Genomic DNA, 18,939 nt, shown 5'->3' with positions numbered 1-18,939 from the left:
TTGTATACCTTCTTTTGATAATGATCTATTCATGTCCTTAGCCTATTTTTGATAGGATTGTTTGGCTTTTTCTTGCTGATCTGTTTGAGTTCATTGTAGATTCTGGATATTAGTCTTTTGTCAGACATATAGATTGTGAAGATTTTCTCCCACTCTGTGGGTTGTCTGTTTACTCTGCTGACTGTTCCTTTTGCCATGCAAAAGGTCTTTAGTTTAATTAAGTCCCAGCTATTTACATTTGTTTTTATTGCATTTGCTTTTGGGATACTGGTCATGAAATCCTTGCCTAAGCCAATGTCTAGAAAGGTTTTTCCAGTGTTATCTTCTGGAATTTTTATAGCTTCAGGTCTTAGATTTACAACCTTAATCCATCTTGAGTTGATTTTTGTGTAAGGTAAGAGATGAGAATTCAGTTTTATTCCCCTCCATGTGGCTAGCCAATTATTTCAGCACCATTTGTTGAAAGGGTGTTCTTTCCCCACTTTATGATTTTGTTTGCTTTGTTGAAAATCAGTTGGCTGTAAGTATTTGGGTTTATTTCTGGGTTCCCTCTTCTGTTCCATTGGTCTATGTGTCTGTTTTTACACCAGTACCATGCTATTTTGTTGACTATGACCTTACCGTATAGTTTGAAATCAGGCAATGTTATGCTGCCAAATTTGTTCTTTTTGGTTAGTCTTGCTTTGGCTATGCAGGCCATTTTTTGGTTCCATATGACTTTTAGGATTGTTTTTTCTAATTCTGTGAAAAATGATGGTGGTATTTTGATGGGAATTGCATGGAATTTGTAGATTGCTTTTGGCAGTATGGTCATTTTCACAATATTGATTCTACCCATCCATGAGCATGGGATGTGTTTTCATCTGTTTCTGTTTCCTATGATTTCTTTCAGCACTGTTTTGTAGTTTTCCTTGTAGAGGTCTGTTGGCTCCTTGATTAGGTATATTCCTAAGTATTTTATTATTTTTGCAGTTATTCTAAAATGGGTTGAGTTCTTGATTTGATTCTCAGCTTGGTTACTTTGATGTATAGAAGAGATACTGACTTATGTACTAATGTAATGTAATTACATTATGTACTATATGACTTATATGACTTAAGTACTAATGTAATGTAATTTTTTATCTGGAAACTTTGCTGAATTCTTTTATCAGTTCTAGGAGCTTTCTGGAGGAGTCTTTAGGGTTTTCAAGGTAAACAGTTATATCGTCAGCAAACAGTGACAATTTGATGTCTTCTTTACCAATTTGGATGCCCTTTATTTCTTTATCTTGTCTGATTGCTCTGGCTAGGGCTTCCACTACTATGTTGAAGAGAAGTGGTGAGAGTGGGAATCCTTGTCTTGTTCCAGTTCTCAGAGGGAATGCTTTCAACTTTTCCCCATTTAGTATTATGTTCACTGTGGGTTTGTCATAGACAGTTTTCATTACATTAAGGTATGTCCCTTCTATGCTGATTTTGCTGAGAGTTTTAATCACAAAGGGATGCTGGGTTTTGTTGCATGCTTTTTCTGTATTTATTGAGACTATTATGTGATTTTTGTTTGTAATTCTGTTTATGTAGCATACCATATTTATTGACTTGTGTCTGTTAAATCATCCCTGCATCCCTAGTATGAAACCCACTTGATCATGGTGAATTATCTTATTGATATGTTGTTGGATTCAGTTAGCTGGTATTTTGTTAGATTTCAGCATCTATGTTCATCAGGGATACTTGTCTGTAATTTTCTTTCTTGGTTATGTTCTCTCCTGGTTTTGGTATTAGAGTAATACTAGCTTCATAGAGTGATTTAGGGAGGGTTTCTTCTTTCTCTATCTTGTGGAATAGCATCAATAGTATTGGTACCAATTCTTCTTTGAATGTCTGGTAGAATTTAGTTGTGAATCCTTCTGGCCTTGGACATTTTTCATTGGTAATTTTTAAATTACCATTTTAATATCACTGCTTGTTATTGGTCTCTTCAGGGTATGTAATTCTTCCTGATTTAAGCTAGGAGGGTTGTATCTTTCCAGGAATTTATCCATGTCTTGTAGGTTTTCTAGTTTATGTGGGTAAAGGTGTTCGTAGTAGCCTTGAATGATCTTTTGTATTTCTGTGACGTCAGTTGTAATATCTCCCATTTGGTTTCTTATTGAGCTTATTTAGATTTTCTCTCTTCTTTTCTTAGTTAATCTTGCTAATAGTTTAGAAATTTTATTTATCTTTTCAAATAAGCAGCTTTATGTTTCACTTTGTTGTTATTGTTGTTGTTGTTTCCATTTCATTTAGTTCTGCTCTGACCTTGGTTATTTTCTTTCTTCTGCTTGGTTTGGGTTTGGTTTGTTTTTGTTTCTGTAGTTCTTTGAGGTATGACCTTAAATCGTCTGTTTGTGCTCTTTCCAACTTTTTTATATAGGTGTTTAGGGCTATGAACTTTCCTTTTATGATCACCTTTGCTGTATCCCAGAGGTTTTGCTAGGTTGTGTCACTATTGCTGTTCAGTTCAAATAAGTTTTTAAATTTTTAACCCAATGATCATTCAGGAGCAGGTAATTTGATTTCCATGTATTTGCATGGTTTTGAAGGTTCTTTTTGGAGTTAATTTCCAGTTTTATTCCACTGTGATCTGACAGAGTGCTTGATATAATTTCAATTTTTTAAAATTTATTGAGGCTAATTTTGTTGCCTATAATATGATCTATCTTGGAGAAAGTTCCATGTGCTATTGAATAGAATGTATGTTCTGTGGTTGTTGGATGGAATATTCTGTATATATCTGTTAAGTCCATTTGTTTCAGGATATAGTTTAAATCCATTGTTTCTTTGTTGACTTTCAGTCTGGATGACCTGTCTAGTGCTGTCAGTGGAGTATTGAAGTCCCCCACTATTATTGTGTTGCTGTCTATCTCATTTCTTAGTTCTAGTAGTAATTGTTTTTTAAATCTGGGAGCTCCAGTGTTATGCACATATATGTTTAGAACTGTGATATTTTCCTGTTTGACAAGGCTTTTTATCATATATAATGTCCCTCTTTGTCTTTTTTAACTGCTGTTGCTTTAAAGGTTGTTTTGTCTGTTGTAAGTATAGCTACTCCTGCTCACTTTTGGTGTCCATTTGCATGAAATGTCTTTTTCCACCTCTTTACCTTAAGTTTATGTGAGTCTTTATGTGTTAGCTGAGGCTCTTGAAGGCAGCAGATAATTGGTTGGTGAATTCTTATCCATTCTACAATTCTGTATATTTTAAGTGGAGCATTCAGGACATTTACAATCAATGTTAGTATTGAGATATGAGGTACCATTTCATTCATTGTACTATTCGTTGCCTGTATACCTTGGTTTTTTGTTTTTGTTTTTTAAATTGCGTTGTTTTATAGGTCCTGTGAGATTTATGTTTTAAAGAGATTCTGTTTTGATGTGTTTCCAGGATTTGTTTCAAGAGTTAGAGCGGCTTTTAGCAGTTCTTGAAGTGCATGTTTGGTAGGGGTAAACTCTCTCAGGATTTGTTTGTATGAAAAAGACTGTATCTTTCCTTCATATATGAAGCTTAGTTTTGCTGGATACAAAATTATTCACAGATAATTGTTTTGTTTGAGGAGGCTGAAGATAGAGCTTCAATCTCTTCTAACTTGTTGGTTTCTGCTGAGAAATCTCCTGTTAATCTGATAGCTTTTCTTTTATAGGTTACCTGGTGCTTTTGTCTCACAGCTCCTAAGATTCTCCCCTTTGTTTCAGTTTTAGATAACCTGATGACACTGTGCCTAGGTGATGATCTTTTTGTGATGACTTTCCCAGTTGTTCTTTGTGCCTCTTGTATTTGGATGTCTAGGTCTCTAGCAAGGCTGGGGAAGTTTTTCTCAATTATTTCTCCAAATATGTTTTCAAACTGTTAGATTTCTCTTTTTCCACAGGAACACTTACTATTATTATCATTCTTAGGTTTGGTCATTAAATGTAATCCCAGATTTCTTGGAGGCTTTGCTCATTTTTTCTTATTCTTTTTTCTTTATCTCTGTTGGATTGGGTTAATTTGAAGACCTTGTTTTCAAGCTCTGAATTTCTTTCTTCTACTTGTTTGATTCTATTGCTGAGACTTTCCAGAGCATTTTGCATTTCTATAAGTGTGTCATTATTTCCTGAAATTTTGATGGTTTTTTAATTTATGCTATTTATTTCATTGAATATTTCTCCCTTCACTTTTTCTATCTTTTTTTGATTTCCTTATATTGGGCTTTGCCTTTCTCTGGTGCCTCCCTGATTAGCTTAATGACTAACCTCCTGAATTCTTTTTCAGGTAAATCAGAGATTTCTTCTTGGTTTCGATCCATTGCTGGTGAGGTAGTGTGATCTGTATGTGTTAAAGGACCTTGTTTTTCCATATTACCAGATTTGGTTTTTTGGTTTCTTCTCATTTGGGTAGGCTCTGCCATAGGAAATGTCTAGGGCTAAAGGCTGTTGTTCAGATTCTTTTGTCCCATGGAGTATTTCCTTGATGACTCTCCCCCTTCTCCTGTGGAAGTGGATTCCTGAGAAATGAGCTGTAGTGATTGTTATATCTCTTCTGGATCTAGCCACTCACTAAGTCTACCAGGCTCTGGGCTGGTACTTGGGGTTGTCTGCAGAGAGTCCTGTAATGTGAACCATCTGTGGGTCTCTCAGCCATGGATATCAACACCTGTTATGGTGGAGGTTGCAGAGGAGTGAAATAGACCCTGTGAGGGTTCTTGGCTTTGGTGGTTTAATGTGCTGTTTTTGTGCTGGTTGGCTTCCTTTCTGGAGGTGGCACTTTCTAGAGAGCATCAGCTGTGGTAGTATGGGGAGGAATAGGTGGTGGGTGGAGCCCTAGAACTCCCAAGAGTATATGTCCTTTGTCTTCAGTTGCCAGGGTGGGTAAGGAAGGAACATTGAGTGGACGCAGGGCTAGGCATATCCGAGCTCAGACTCCTTGGGCAGGTCTTGCTGTGGCTGCTGTTGGAGGGGGTGGCGGTGAGGTTCCCAGGTCAATGGAGTTATGTTCTTAGAAGGATTATGGCTGTCTCTACTGTGCCATGCAGGATGTCAGGAAAGTGGGGGAAAGTCCACAGTCACAGGCTTCACCCAGCCCCCACGGAATCCAAAATGCGGTCTCACTCCCACCATTCCCCAACAATAGCACTTAGCCTGTTTCCAGGCAGTGAGCAAGCAGGGCTGAGAACTTGCCCCAGGCTACCCACCTCCCAGCTGTGAAAGCAAGTATGGCTTTTCTTCTTCTTCCCCTGCCTGTGGAGTCCGCATGCCAGATTCACAGCCTCCCTTGACTTCTGGCCAGGAGACTTCCTGATCAATTCAAATTGTTACAAAGTTCAGCTGGAGATTTCCTCCTCTCTGTGGCCTTTTCCCAGTGCCTCTTTCCCTTTGCAATGGATGTCTGTGAAGCTAGGCAGAAATGGTTTGCTAGGGGAACGAGCAAGATCACAGGCTTCCTCCTGCTGCTTCCTCTACCCCTGAATTTCACTCAGCTCTCTAAATTGTCTCAGCTCCAGGTAAGGTCAGAATCTTCTCCTGTAATCTTGACCTTTCATTTCCCCAGTGAGGGTGTGTGTTCAAGGGTGGATGATCTCCCTTTCCCACTTCTACATTTTGGGCACCCACAGTATTTGGGGTGTCTCCCAGGTCCTGTAGGAACAATCCGCTTTCTTCAGAGGGCCTGTGGGTCCTCTAGGGTTTCCTTATTTATTCCTGCAGTCATTTCTGGGGCAAAAATTCATGATGCAAACCTCCACACACTGCTTAATTCGCCCAAGTCTGAGCTGCAGTCTAGTCCTGCCTCCTGTCCACCATGATCCACTGGCAAGTGGCTGCAGGTGAAAATGGCAGTAGCGGCAGCTGAGGCAGTGATGTCCTTGTCTTCTCTGGAAGCTACAGTGGTGACACTCTCACTCCCTTGCCTGTGTCCAGCAGGGTGCCAGATGGCACACGGGGATGGGAGCCTTTTCCTCCTCAGTGACTTGGTTCCAAATCCTCTCAGTTATAAGTTACTTGTTATTTATCCCAATTATAGACTATTCTGAATTGTTTTTTGACCAGTGAGTTTAATACCTTCAGATGTTTAGATGTTTTCTTTTTTTCTTTTTGAGATGGAGTCTCACTCTGTCACCCAGGCCTCCAAAAAACTATACAACTTTGAATAGCAGTAGTGACTTTAAATAGAATATGTACATTTTCCTTCATACTTATAAGGAAATGATTACTACTCATGCCTTGATCACTATTTTTTTCTTTTTGAAACAGAGTCTCACTCTGTCACCAAGCTGGAGTGCAGTGGCGGATCTCAGCTCACTGCAACCTCCACCTCCTGGGATCAAGTGATTCTCCTGCCTCAGCCTCCTGAGTAGCTGCGACTACAGGCACATGGCACCACGCTTGGCTAATTTTTTTTTGTATTTTAGCGGAGATGGGGTTTCACCGTGTTAGCCAGGATTCTCTCAATCTCCTGACCTCGTGATCCACCCCCCTTGGCCTCCCAAAGTGCTGGGATTACAGGCATGAGCCACCATACCCAGCCCATACCTTCAGATGTTTTCATGTTACAGATTACCATCCCTTCTTTCATACTGAAGAACTCCTTTTAGCATTTCTCATAAGACAGATCTGGTGTTGTTGAGTTCCCTCAGCTTTTGTTTGTCCAGGAAAGTATTCATCTCTCCTTCATGCTTTTTGGGTAAAGTATTCTTAGTTGGCAGTATTTTTCCTTCAGCACTTTAAATATAGAAACCCACTCTCTCCTGGACTGCAGGGCTTCTGTTGAGAAATCCCCTGAAAGCCAGACTAGGGCCTCATTGAATGTCATATGTTTCTTTTCTTTTGATGCCAGTAGTGTTATTTCTTTGTATTTTACTTTTGCTAATTTTAATATGATGTGCCTCAAGAATTTTATTTTTGGGTGAATTTGATTGGTGACCTCTGAGCTTTCTGTGCCTGGATGGTGTCATATTTCTCCAAGTTTGAAAATTTTTCAGCCATTATTTCCTGAAATATGCTTTCTGGGTCTTCTTTTTGTCTCTTACCTTCAGGGATTTCTATTATGTGTAGGTTACTTCACTTGATGGTGTCTTATAAGTCTTGTAAGCCTTTTTCTCTTTTGTGTATTTTTTTTTTTTTTTGCTCCTTGGATTGGGTAATTTCATATGCTTTGTCTTCTAGCTTGCTAATATTTCCTATGTTCATTTCTGCTGTTGAAGCTTTCTTTTTTTCTTTTGAGATGAAGTCTTGCTCTGTGCCCAGGCTGGAGTGCAGTGGCATGATCTGGGCTCACTGCAAGCTCCACCTCCCAGGTTCATGCCATTCTCCTGCCTCAGCCTCCCGAGTAGCTGGGACTACAGTTGCCTGCCACCACGCCAGCTAATTTTTTTTGTATTTTTAGTAGAGATGGGGTTTCACCGTGTTAGCCAGGATGGTCTCGATCTCCTGACCTTGTGATCTGCCCGCCTCGGCCTCCCAAAGTGCGAAGCTTTCTAACAAGTTTTTCACCTCAGTTATTGTATTCTTTATTTCTAAGATTTATTTATTTATTTATTTATTTATTTTTGTCAAATTTCTCATTTTGCTCATAGATTGTTTCTCAAATTTTATTTATTTTTTTCTTTTCATTTTCTTATGATTCCCTCATCTTTTTAAGAAGATTATTCTGAATTCTGCGCCTGACATTTATAGATATTTAGTTCTTCTGGTTCCATCATTGGAGGTTTGTTAGAGTCTTTTGGTGGTGTAATATTTCCCTGATTTTTCACAACTATTACATCTTTACATTGATGTCTGCATATTTCAGGAGGCAATAAACATCTATGTACATGTGTCTTTAGGGTGGAATGATTTCTGTTCCTCTGGGTATATACGCAGTAATGAGATTGCTGGGTTGCATTGTTTTTAGCTCTTTGAGAAATTGCAACACTGCTTTCCACAAAGGTTGAACTGATTTACACTCCTACCATTAGTGTATAAGTGTTCCCTTTTTCCATGACCTCACCAACATCTGTTATTTTTGACTTTTTAATAATAACTATTCTGACTGGTGTGAGATGGTATCTCACTGTGGTTTTGATTAGCATTTCCCTAATGATCAGTGATACTTATCTTCTTCTCATATGCTTCTTGGCTGTATGTATGTCTTCTTTTGAAAAGTGTCTGTTCATGTTCCTTTACCCACTTTTTAATAGAGTTATTTGTTTTTCTCTTGCAAAAATTTTTAAGTCACTTATAGATGCTAAATATTAGACTTTTATTAGATGCATAGTTTGCAAATATTTTCTCCCATTCTATAGGTTGTCTGTTTACTCTGTTGATAGTTTTTTTGTTTGTTTGTTTTATTTTTGTGGTGCAGAAGCTCTTAAGTTTAATTAGGTTCCCCAAAATGTGTAAGTTTTAAATTGCATGCCCTTTTGAGTAGCATGATGAAATCTCACATTGTTCCACTTCAACCTGCCCAGGATATGAATCATCCTTTTGTCCATTCTGTCTCTGTCACCCACCCATTAATCACTTAGTAGCCTTTTCACTTATCAGATTGACCACCATGGTATCACAGTGCTTGTGTTCATGTAATCCTTATTTTACCTAATAATGGTCCCAAAGTGCAAGAGTAGTGATGCTGGTGGTTCAAATATTCAGAGAGAAGCAGGAAAGTACTTTCTTTAAGTGAAAAGTGGAAGTTCTTAACTTAATAAGGAAAATAATTGTATTCTGAGGTTGCTAATATCTACAACAAGTGTTCTATTCATGAAATTGTGAAGAAGGAAAAAGAAACGTGAAAGTTTTTAACTTGTGCCTCAAACTGTAAAAGTTATGGTCACAGTGCACAATAAGTATTTAGCTAAGATAGAAAAAGCATCAAATTTGTGGGGTGTTAAGACATGAACAGAAATGATGGCAGTTGGGTTCAATACTATGCATGATAGTTTAAGGTATCCATGGGGCTCTTGGAACATATTACCCACAGATAAGTGGGGACCACTATACAAAAAAACATTTAAATTTCAATGATAATAATAAAATGGAGAAAATATTCAAGTAGTCATGCATCAAAATGATATGTGAACTGCGAGTAAGCACACGAGCAGATGCTTAACATCATGAGTCTTTAGGGACATGAAATTTAAAGCAATCATAGACTGTGAAGGGCCTGGGACTTTACTTGCATGCTAATAATCTAGCCTATTACTGTTTCATGGATCTTGGCAGAAGATGTAAGATTGAGTAGATACAAAGAATTGTATTTATCAAGGCACAGGAAGTAGCAGAAATATAACATTTGTTCAGTTTCCCTTTTCCTGCAAGTCCCACAAGGTGGTGAGAAAGGGATATGGTGGATACTGCCTATGCAATTTGTCTATTTGAAGCAAAACTGAGGAACTCTGAGCTTAGAAAACTTAAATACTTTATACTGGACAATAAGCATGACTGACCAGGAGGCCTTCTCTATCTTCCAAGACTGTTTGCTATAAAAAAAAAAATAGGCCAGAATAAAAGTGCACTCAGTGCCTCTGCTCAAAAGTTGTTCAGAAATGCAAAAGATACATGCGGAATTGCCTCCAGAAAATAAAACAAAACAAAAATATATAATGTTATCAGCTGAATTTCATCTCACTTCCCCCAATTCATATGTTAAAACTCTCATCATACACCTCAGTCACATACTTTACAGAGCTCACGTATCTCAGAATATAATTAGGCTTGGAGATACGGCCTTTAAAGAGGTGATTAAGGTTAATGAGGCCATTCTGGTAGACCTTAATCCATTCCACTTAAACCTATTCTGGTAGGCCTTCATCCAATCCACTATCTATAAGAGGAGATTGGGACATAGAGACAGCAGGAGCACATGTGCACAGGGGGGCAACTTTGTGAAGAGCCAGAGGGAAAGCAGCCATCTGTTAGCCGAGGAATGGGGCCTCAGAAGAAACAACCTCCCAACACCTTAATCTTGAACTTTCAGCCTCTGTAACTGTGAAAAAACAAATTTCCATTGTTTAAATCACCTAGTCTATAATACTGTGTTATAACAGTCCTAGCAAATAATTACAGTTACTATTACAAACCTATCAGAATGGCTAAAATTAAGGAGTGCAGTCTGGTGTGGAGTTGGCTGCTAATGAAGAGTAGAAAGAGATTTGAAGAGATGCTGGGCTGAAGAGTGAAATAAGGAGTCAGCTGGCAATAAAAGAAAAGATTGGCAATTTTTAGGGCTCTACTGAGAGAGCAATTTGGGGGCCATCAGTAGGGCCATAATTTTCCGTTAAGTAAAGTTCTGCTATAAACTACTTGATCAGCTGTAAAACTCTCATTTTTCCTGTATTTCCTACATGTTTTTCTAGTCAAGTTGAATGTCAGTTGCATCATACCAACAAATGAGTCAAAAAGAGAATGTTAGTTTATTTCAACCCAAGTATGTCAGGGCTCACTTGCAATAAAAGAGTCTGTTATGATAGAACATTCTCTGAAATCACCACTAAAAATCAGTATGAAGGATTGATGTGTGATTTGAGCCATCAACACTCAATACCAAGAGTAAATGGATGCTTGGATTAACCATGGCCAAAAATTGTCAAAATTATTATGGCAGAGAGTAGGGGGACAGAACCTCAGGATCTAGTGCGTGTAGATTTGAAATGTGAACCACAGAGTCCAGGCCAGACTGAGACACACACTTAGTTAGAAGTGACTAAAGACAAAATGGAAGTGCCCAGAAATTCAGAGGTTTTGTGGGAAAGGCACAAGGGAAGAGAAGGGAAGGAAAGAAAGAACAGGAAAAGCGGAGAAAAGCTAATGTTTAATGTGTACTTATTCTGATATGCAACAGTATCACTATTTTATAAGTGGAAGAAATGGAGATGTAGAGAGGTTGGATAACTTACGAACAATCAGAGAAGTATGAGGCCAGCATTCAAACTTGGGTCTAATAATGCAGTTCATGCCCTTTTCACTACTCTCCAATAACTGTCAAGGTAAAGAGCAATGGGAGTGAGAAAGGAGAGACAGAAAGTCAATTAAAGAGAAGCTTGAAGTCTAAGTTACACAAGTTGATGCATGGAGGCCTGAAGATAAATTTCAAGGTGTGGCTGCCCTTGCATTTGTTGGAACAGAGTGAAGATGAGCTAACAGTATGAGAAATGATAAAGACCTGGACCCTTGTACGTGTGACCATAGCATAGGTATGGAGATTTTAGGTCAGTGTAGAGAAGTGGAAGAGAGCAAATGAGAGACTGAGAGTGTGGGTGTTCAAATAGTTATTTCTCATAGCTGCTGCTTCAAACTAGACAAAATGATTTATACCAAGATTCTATGTTCTTTCTCTTTATCTGATTCTATGAAAGACAAAAAAAAAAAAAGCCTGAGGGTAGGAATGTCATGTTTTGTTTTGAGAAGTTTTTCCTTTAAATAAATGCATAACATACAACTCACATGTTTCACTGTTTCTGTGAGAAGGTACATAGAACTCAAGAGTACAAAGATACTATGTTTCTCAGTCAATTTGCTATTTTGATTTGTAATAAAAGATTCATTTGCTCTTGGATTCTGTTCTCTGATCCCGACCACAGCTATGATTTCTGCAGTGAGAAGTACTGACTATGAAATATTAGTCGATTAAGTCAAGAAACCTCTGGCTTGGTATCAAGGAAAGTACAGTTTCCAGTTCATCTGACAAACCTGCTGTTTTGTTCATCATGCAAAATAGGAAAACATTGCTTCATCTTCATTAAACTCTGTGGGCAGAGAGAGGGTGTTCCTCGTGTTTCTGAGCATCTGAGAGGTAACAAGGGCTCTGTGCAATTCGTGTTTTAAGATCTGGATCCTTCAAAAGCCCCGTTGTTACTGGTTCCTGAAACAAGGCTGTCATAAAACTCAAGGTATTCAAGAAAAATGAAAATACTGTGACTCACACTGTCTGTGCTGCTTAAGTTACTTAAATTGCGCAGTCTATTTATGCTAATAAAAATCCCTGAAAATCCATTTGCATAGTATGCACCCATAAGTCTTTAAAATAGATAAAAACTGTCAAATAGTTGCTATACATAGATACCCTATTGTTTAATTATTTAGATGAGTCTATTTAATTATAATTCAAAGGGATCATCTTCCACAAGTGCAATTTTTAAGATAGAAAGGGACTTTTAGTTTAATAAGGTCCAAAAATAAAATTTATTCAATTTTTCTCATAATTGTCTTATCTAATTAGCTGAGTATCTGGAACTGACACATGAAGAATATTAGCTATTTTTGCATGCTTTGATTTCTAAATAATATTTAAGTGCCCACTCTGTGCCAGGTAATTTGTATGTGTTATTTTATCCTTACAACAACCTTATGGAGTAGGTATTATTGTAGTCACCATTTTAAATCTGAGAGTGCTGAAGTCTGGGGGGTGGTGGTAAATAACTTGTTCACACAGTAAGAGGTAGAGCTAGGATTTATGTCTACCCAAAAACAGCACAAATTAAAATTCAAAGATAAACTTGGTGTATCTCCTGCATTGCATATCTTTTCTAATAACAATATTTAATATAATAACATTTATCATTTCCCATGTTTTAAGTATTGAATATAAAGTATTTAATCATTACAGTGATTCTATGATGTGGATGCTGCATTTGACAAATGCAGAGGAATCCCACTGGTAATCAGTGACGGAGCTGGAACTGAACTCAGATCTGAATCATTTTTCATAACCACGATCTTACCTTTTTAGTTTCAGCTTGACTGTTATCAAACTCATCTATGTAAGTGAGGCAGGAGAATCTCTTGAACCTGGGAGGCAGATGTTGCAGTGAGCTGAGATCGTGCCACCGCACTCCAGCCTGGGTGAGAGAGTGAGACTCTGTCTCAAAAAAAAAAAAAAAAAAGACCATGGGATCTGAAACCTTACTTGTAGTTGTATATAAAAGATTTAATACACATACAGTGTTCAATACAAGGCCTGAAATATAACAAGTGCACAATAAACTTAGGTATTATTATTACTCTATAACATACTGTTTCCAAGATGTAGAGATGTCAAAGAGAGCAGAAATCTAAACAGAGGCACTGATGCTGCTTCCAGGACCCTTGCCCATAACTCAGTGGTGTGTTCCATGTTCTGAGGCATGGAATTAATATACAATTAGTTCCTATAAGTAGATGTATATATGTGCATGGGCATGTGTATGTGTATGTGTATGTGCATGTTTGTGTGTGTTTCATCATTGGGTCTTTCTTTGAGGTTCTTTCAGTCTAAATGACTTTGTTTTTTAATCCCATCTGCTTGTTTTGCCCAACATAGCCTCCTTCTTTCTCTTTTTACTTATTCTAGTTAATTTTTTTTAATCATTAACCAAATCCTAATATAGGTGACAAAAGTAGGGAGAGACATTTATGAAAACCAAATAGTAATCAAAGGCATGTTTCTCAACAATGTTGCTTGCCATCCGGTGCTAATGTAGAAAGCATGTTAATTCTGATAGCTTAGTGGATGACAGCAAACTTGTGTGGCTCTGTCCTTCATGCCAAATCTAACCCTCTGAAACATCATGGCCAGGGTCAATGTTTGGAACCATCCTAGGGTTCTAGAACACATTAATATGTTAGGTAATTCCCTTTTGCAAGGTACAAGTCAGATCCATCTCTGCTATGTAGCAAACATAGAAGAATCAGGTGTCCCACACTTGACTTTCAACCTATGATGTTTTTTAGATAATTTTCCTTTTGAAAGAGAAGTTTCCTTTTGAAATCAACCTTAATTTTCTAAAGAATCCTCGTCTGTGTCTCATGATGAAGAAACCACAAGGAAATCATACTCTTCATAGTCATTCTTATTTATTCTTGTTTTGTTTTCAGTTAAGGCTTTGCACATTATTCAACCATTAATCCTCTCAGGATCTACAGGTTGAATACCCATATATTGCATTTCCAGGGTCTACTGAGTCAAATATTTTGCAGAAAAGATGACTGGGAGCCCAACCTTCCAGAGTAGGAGGAAATAAATATATGTCAGTTTGCTCCAGACTCCAGGTCTTCTCACCTCTTATTTGAAGAGAACTGCCTTTAAGTGGTCAGCTGTGAAAATTTAACACAGTTGTGAGGTCTTCTAGGATTTCAGCTGCACTGGGCTCTAGGAAAAAAATGAAGAAAACAGGGATAGTATGATTACATTTAGAAGATACTGGCATGGCCATTAACATATGATGACCAGAAATAGTGCCTTTCTTAGCACTTCTGTCCTATATCATGAACAGATGAAGTCATTCTTAGTTTGAACTGCCATCATCAATATACAAGGCAGTCCAGTGAGAAGTGGTCACAGAACAGAAGGACAGATGGCAGGAGCTAGTGGCCATCAGCTTCGTGACAGTCATAGTTTCTGATCACCTGCCCATTGAGAGAAGAAACAACCAGAAATCAGAGACAGTGTCTAGCCTTCCACCACCAAATACATCACCAGTGATGGTGATAGGAACTAAGCAGTATAGACCCTAGCAGAGCCTGGGCTTCTGGGTAGGGCTTTGGATGTGGCAGAAATCCAGGGCACGTCCTACATACAGAGACTAGTCCAATAAACAGTGGCATATACTATGTATACCTGATTCTTGGCCTATTGGGGGTGGGTGCAGCAAAGCCAAAGCTAAATCACACCAGCTAGTAGTTTGAACCTACTAATTACAGTGTATCTAAAACTTCAGTGTGCATATACGTTGCCTGATGAGCCTCTTAAAATACAGATTCTGATTGTGGGAAGATGTGAGGCTGGGTTTATATTCTGCCTAACAAACTCCCAGAAGATGATACTGCTGGGCTGAGGACCATACCTTTCCACTGGAAAAGAAAAATACTGCTGGCCTTGTTTGAAATTCACCAAGAAATATGAGTGAAAGCTAGAGGCGAGGAAGGTAAGTGCGGACTAGAAAATATTAGTACCTTGACTTCAGAGAGGCTGGGGAATGCAAAGTGACTTATAGTTAGTGACTGTGCTGTCAGTGTGAGTCAGGGGCTTACAGAGTCCCAGGAGGTGAAGCCTGGGACTACGGGGTCATGGTACCCTAGTACAAGCATTCTCTGATCCCTTTGGGCAATGATAGTCTCAAGGAAAGGAGACAACAGAAGGCTGCTCTCCTGGGACTCCTTGACCAATAGATTTCCTCTGAAGTGACGTGTTCTCCATTGTGACAGAGGCAATAACAAGGGACAAGTATTGGCAGCACCTTTTCTGATAAGCCCATCTCTGTTCTGTTCATATCTCAGTTATATCATTTATCCTCTCCTGATGGGATAGCCAAGTACAGAGTTGGAAGTATACTGTTGTTTTTTTATAGAAGCTATCTGAAGCTCAGGAAAGAGGAAAAAATCCTCTCATCCATGAAAAACCAGTAATCTATCTCATTGTTGCAAGAGAAAACTGAACTCAGAGTAGTGAAAAATAACTTCAACCTAAGAAGTAAATTAATAATCCAAGAATAAAGATAAGTTAGAAACTTGAACAAATTGAGGCTCATGTTTTGAAACTGAGCACAATCCAAGTGGTTTTATTGTAGCTAATCTGAGTTCTAATTCAGAGCACAGAAATTCTGATTCTGGTCCTCTGGGTACTAGTAGCCATTACCCTCAGAAAATAAGTGTTTGGTAACTTCCAGAAATTTTCCAGTTATGAAGTCTGATATTATGCACCAGGAATCTTTGTACTCCCAGCCACAGTGGAGGATATTCAAAAGAACAGTGTATAGACTTTCATGTCAGTTTACAACATGCTTCTTCTCCTACTACCTCCAAAAATGACAGCTTGATTATAATGTAATTATCTTCTGTCATGAAGCTTGAGCATAATTTTATTTCCAGATGGGTTTATGTTGCTTATATTTAAACTCATTACTGAAAAAGCAGTCATGGAGCAAAATATAAATAAATAACCTAAAGGCAGACCACTATAAATTCCTTTAAACAGGAGAGTCTAAGTTGAGGACTACGGGGAAAGCACTCCCTTCTGTCTTATGTCATGCATATTCCACTGTTTGAAAGATAAATATCTCTGTTTTAAGAGGACAGAGGCAGTTCTGAGTCAGTGGAGATGTTTCTATGGAAATGAAAAAATATGCAAATGCTGCTATAAAGAGCATGAAAGCATTCCTGCAACAGATAATTTGACCAGAATGGGGTTGGGGGGACCACAATAAACAGAAAGGAGACATGGATAAGCTGGTGTCAAGGCCCACTGGACAGCATGCAGCTAAGACACCATGTTATATAAATGAATGGAAAAAAATCATCATAGTCATAATCCCACAAATAGTATTCTTCATGCTTGTGGAGGGAGAGTTTATTTCCTATTCTGCTCCTACAGAGTCTTTGGTAGATTTAGTTCTGTTGATTTCCATTTTTACTGAAATTGATAGTATTTGTTTAAATTTTAAGTTTTGAAATATTCTATAATTTGATTTAGCAAGTCATAATGCTAAGAGATTCTTGAATTAGGTCCTCCCTGTCCAATCACATGGCCTTCAGAGGGTACTTGATAAGGTTGACTTATTCATTTACCACACAACTCTTAAGTACCATGTGCTAGGCACTGTGATAAAAACAATGCAACTGGGGTTATCGGGAGGATGCATGCAGGTTGTAATAAGAACCCTGATGAGAAAGCATTTTAACTTTGGAAAATGCCTCATGGTGATGGTGATGTTTGACTTGAGTTTTGAAGAAAGTAACCAGGTGGATTAGCATGTGGATACTGCTATCTCTAAAAGGAAGAGGAAGGACGAACCAGGAGAGGTGATGCTTAGTGTATATGTGTGTAAACGCTGGCCAACGTAGGGATGGATCATCTCTCTGAGTTAGACTTATTTTTTGTTTTGTTTTGTATTGTTTTTATAATAAGCTATGAGGCAGACCTTTTAGGTTATCAAGAGAGCTAGAGACCAGTCTGGTGTTATTCTATTCCTTATTCATCATGACTTTGAGTAATGTTACCTTACATTCACATATTCACCTCAGTTCCAGCCTTTTTTTCAATATACTTCTCGCTTAGATATTGGAGCAGATTTAGACCTCTAACCTTTGTATAAAGTAGTTACAGAGTTTTCTCAAAACAAGACATGTGCTTCGAAGGGAGAGAATACATCAACCCTTGGTATAGCCTCTCTGAAGGCAGGTACAATTTGTGGTGATGACACTAACAGTAAACCCATCATCTCATAAATAGGGAGAGTAGTCAGATTTTTCTTTCTTTCCTATACTAGCAACATTGAAACACAAGTTTTCATTTAGAAAATATTACATGTTCTATTTGCTACAATGCTGTGGGATGCACATTGTTTAGAAAGGTGCACATAGATCTTAATGGGACTACTTAAGTCATAATTTGTTTTTCCATTCCTCTCAAAACATAGAAAAACAATGAATGTTATGGTATTAAGGAGGATATTCAGCCTATAAAGGGGAACTAGACCCAGAGTCTCTTGAGATAGGTATTGTCCTCTCCTTCTGTATTAGTCTGTTCTCACACTGCTATAACAAAATGTCTGAGACCTGGTAATTTATGAAGAAAAGAGGTCTAATTGGCTCACAGTTCCATAGGCTGTATAGGAAGCATGGCTGGGGAGGCTTTAGGAAACTTGCAATCATGGCAGAAGGTGAAGGGGAAGCAGGCATGTCTTTACCTGGCCAGGAGAGGAGAAAAAAGAGAGATGGGGAAGTGCCACATACTTTTAAACAACCAGATCTCATAAGAACTCTATCATGAGAACAGCACCAAAGGGTGAAACCCACCCCTATGATCCAATCACTGACCATCAAGCCCCACCTCCAACATTGGGAATTACAATTCAACATGAGATTTGTGCAGAGACACAAATCCAAACCATGTCATTCTGCTCCTGGACCTTCCCAAATCACATGTCCTTCTCATACAGCAATATACAATCATCCCTTCTCAATAGTTCCCCAAAGTTTTAACTCATTTCAACATTAACCCAAAAGTTCATAGCTCAAAGCCTCATCTGAGACAAGGCCAGTCTCTTCCACCTATGAGCCTGTAAACTTAAAAATAAGATAGTTACATCCAAGATACAATGGGGATATAAGTACAGTCCCCATGCCAGTCTGAAAACCAGCAGGACAGTCATTAAATCTTAAAACTCCAAAATAATCTCCTTTGACTGCGTATCTCACAATCAGGACATACTGGTGCAAGGGGTGGGTTCCCAAGGCCTTGGGCAGCTCTGTCCCGGGGTCTCTGCAGGGCTCAGTACCTGTGGCTGCTTTCACGGCTGGCATTGAGTATATGTGGCTTTTCCAAGTGCATGGTGCAAGCTGTTGGTGGATCTACCATTCTGGGGTCTGGAGGGTAGTGGCCTTCCCACAACTCTGCTAGGCAGTGCCCCAGTGGGGACTCTGTGTGGGGGCTCCAACCCCACATTTCTCCTCTGCGTGGCTCTTGTAGAGGTTCTCAATGAGGACTTTGCTCCTGCAGCAGACTTCTGCCTGGACACCCAGGCTATTCCATTATCTTCTGAAATCTAGGTGGAGGCTCCCAAACCTCACCTCTTGTACCCTGTGCACCCACAGGTTTAATGCCACATGAAAGCTACCAAGGCTTTTTGTTTGCACCCTCTAAAGCAATGGCCCAAGCTGTACCATTTAGCCATGGGTGGTGCTGGAGTGGCCACGATGCCAGGACCAGTGTCCCAATGCTGCACAGAGCAGTGTGGTCCTGGGCCTGGCCCATGAAACTATTCTTTCCTTCTAGGCCTCCAGGGCTGTGGTGGGGAGGGTGCTGCCACAGAGGTCTCTGAAATGCTTCCAAGGCCTTTTTCCAATTGTCTTGGCTTTAGGACTTGCCTTCCTTTTAGTTATGCAGATTTCAACAGCCTACAGCCAGCTTCAATTGCTCCTTTGAAAATGGGCTTTTCTTTTCTACCATGCAGCCGAGCTGCAAATTTTCCTAACTTTTATGCTCTGCTTC

At 38.9% G+C, this 18,939-nt stretch overlaps 1 long non-coding RNA gene across 3 annotated transcripts in view; it reads right to left on the bottom strand.

The window, feature by feature from the left end:
* Window positions 1-14,096, bottom strand: part of LOC105374039 (uncharacterized) — a 177,487-nt gene extending 163,391 nt beyond the window's left edge. For 2 of the 3 annotated variants that reach the window (XR_001740846.1, XR_007096275.1), the window contains exons 1-2: window positions 14,011-14,096; window positions 12,695-12,831 (exon numbers count right to left, since the gene is read on the bottom strand). This is a non-coding gene — a long non-coding RNA (uncharacterized LOC105374039). Of the gene's footprint in view, window positions 1-11,353; window positions 11,836-12,694; window positions 12,832-14,010 lie in introns of those variants that run through there. The other variant, XR_001740847.1, reaches the window with a different exon arrangement.
* Between the last annotated feature and the right edge of the window lie 4,843 nt (window positions 14,097-18,939).

Source organism: Homo sapiens, chromosome 3 (assembly GCF_000001405.40).
Source record: "Homo sapiens chromosome 3, GRCh38.p14 Primary Assembly".
NCBI lineage: Eukaryota > Metazoa > Chordata > Mammalia > Primates > Hominidae > Homo > Homo sapiens.
The sequence above is the reverse complement of the archived record's forward strand: the minus strand, read 5'-3'. Positions and strand labels throughout refer to the sequence as shown.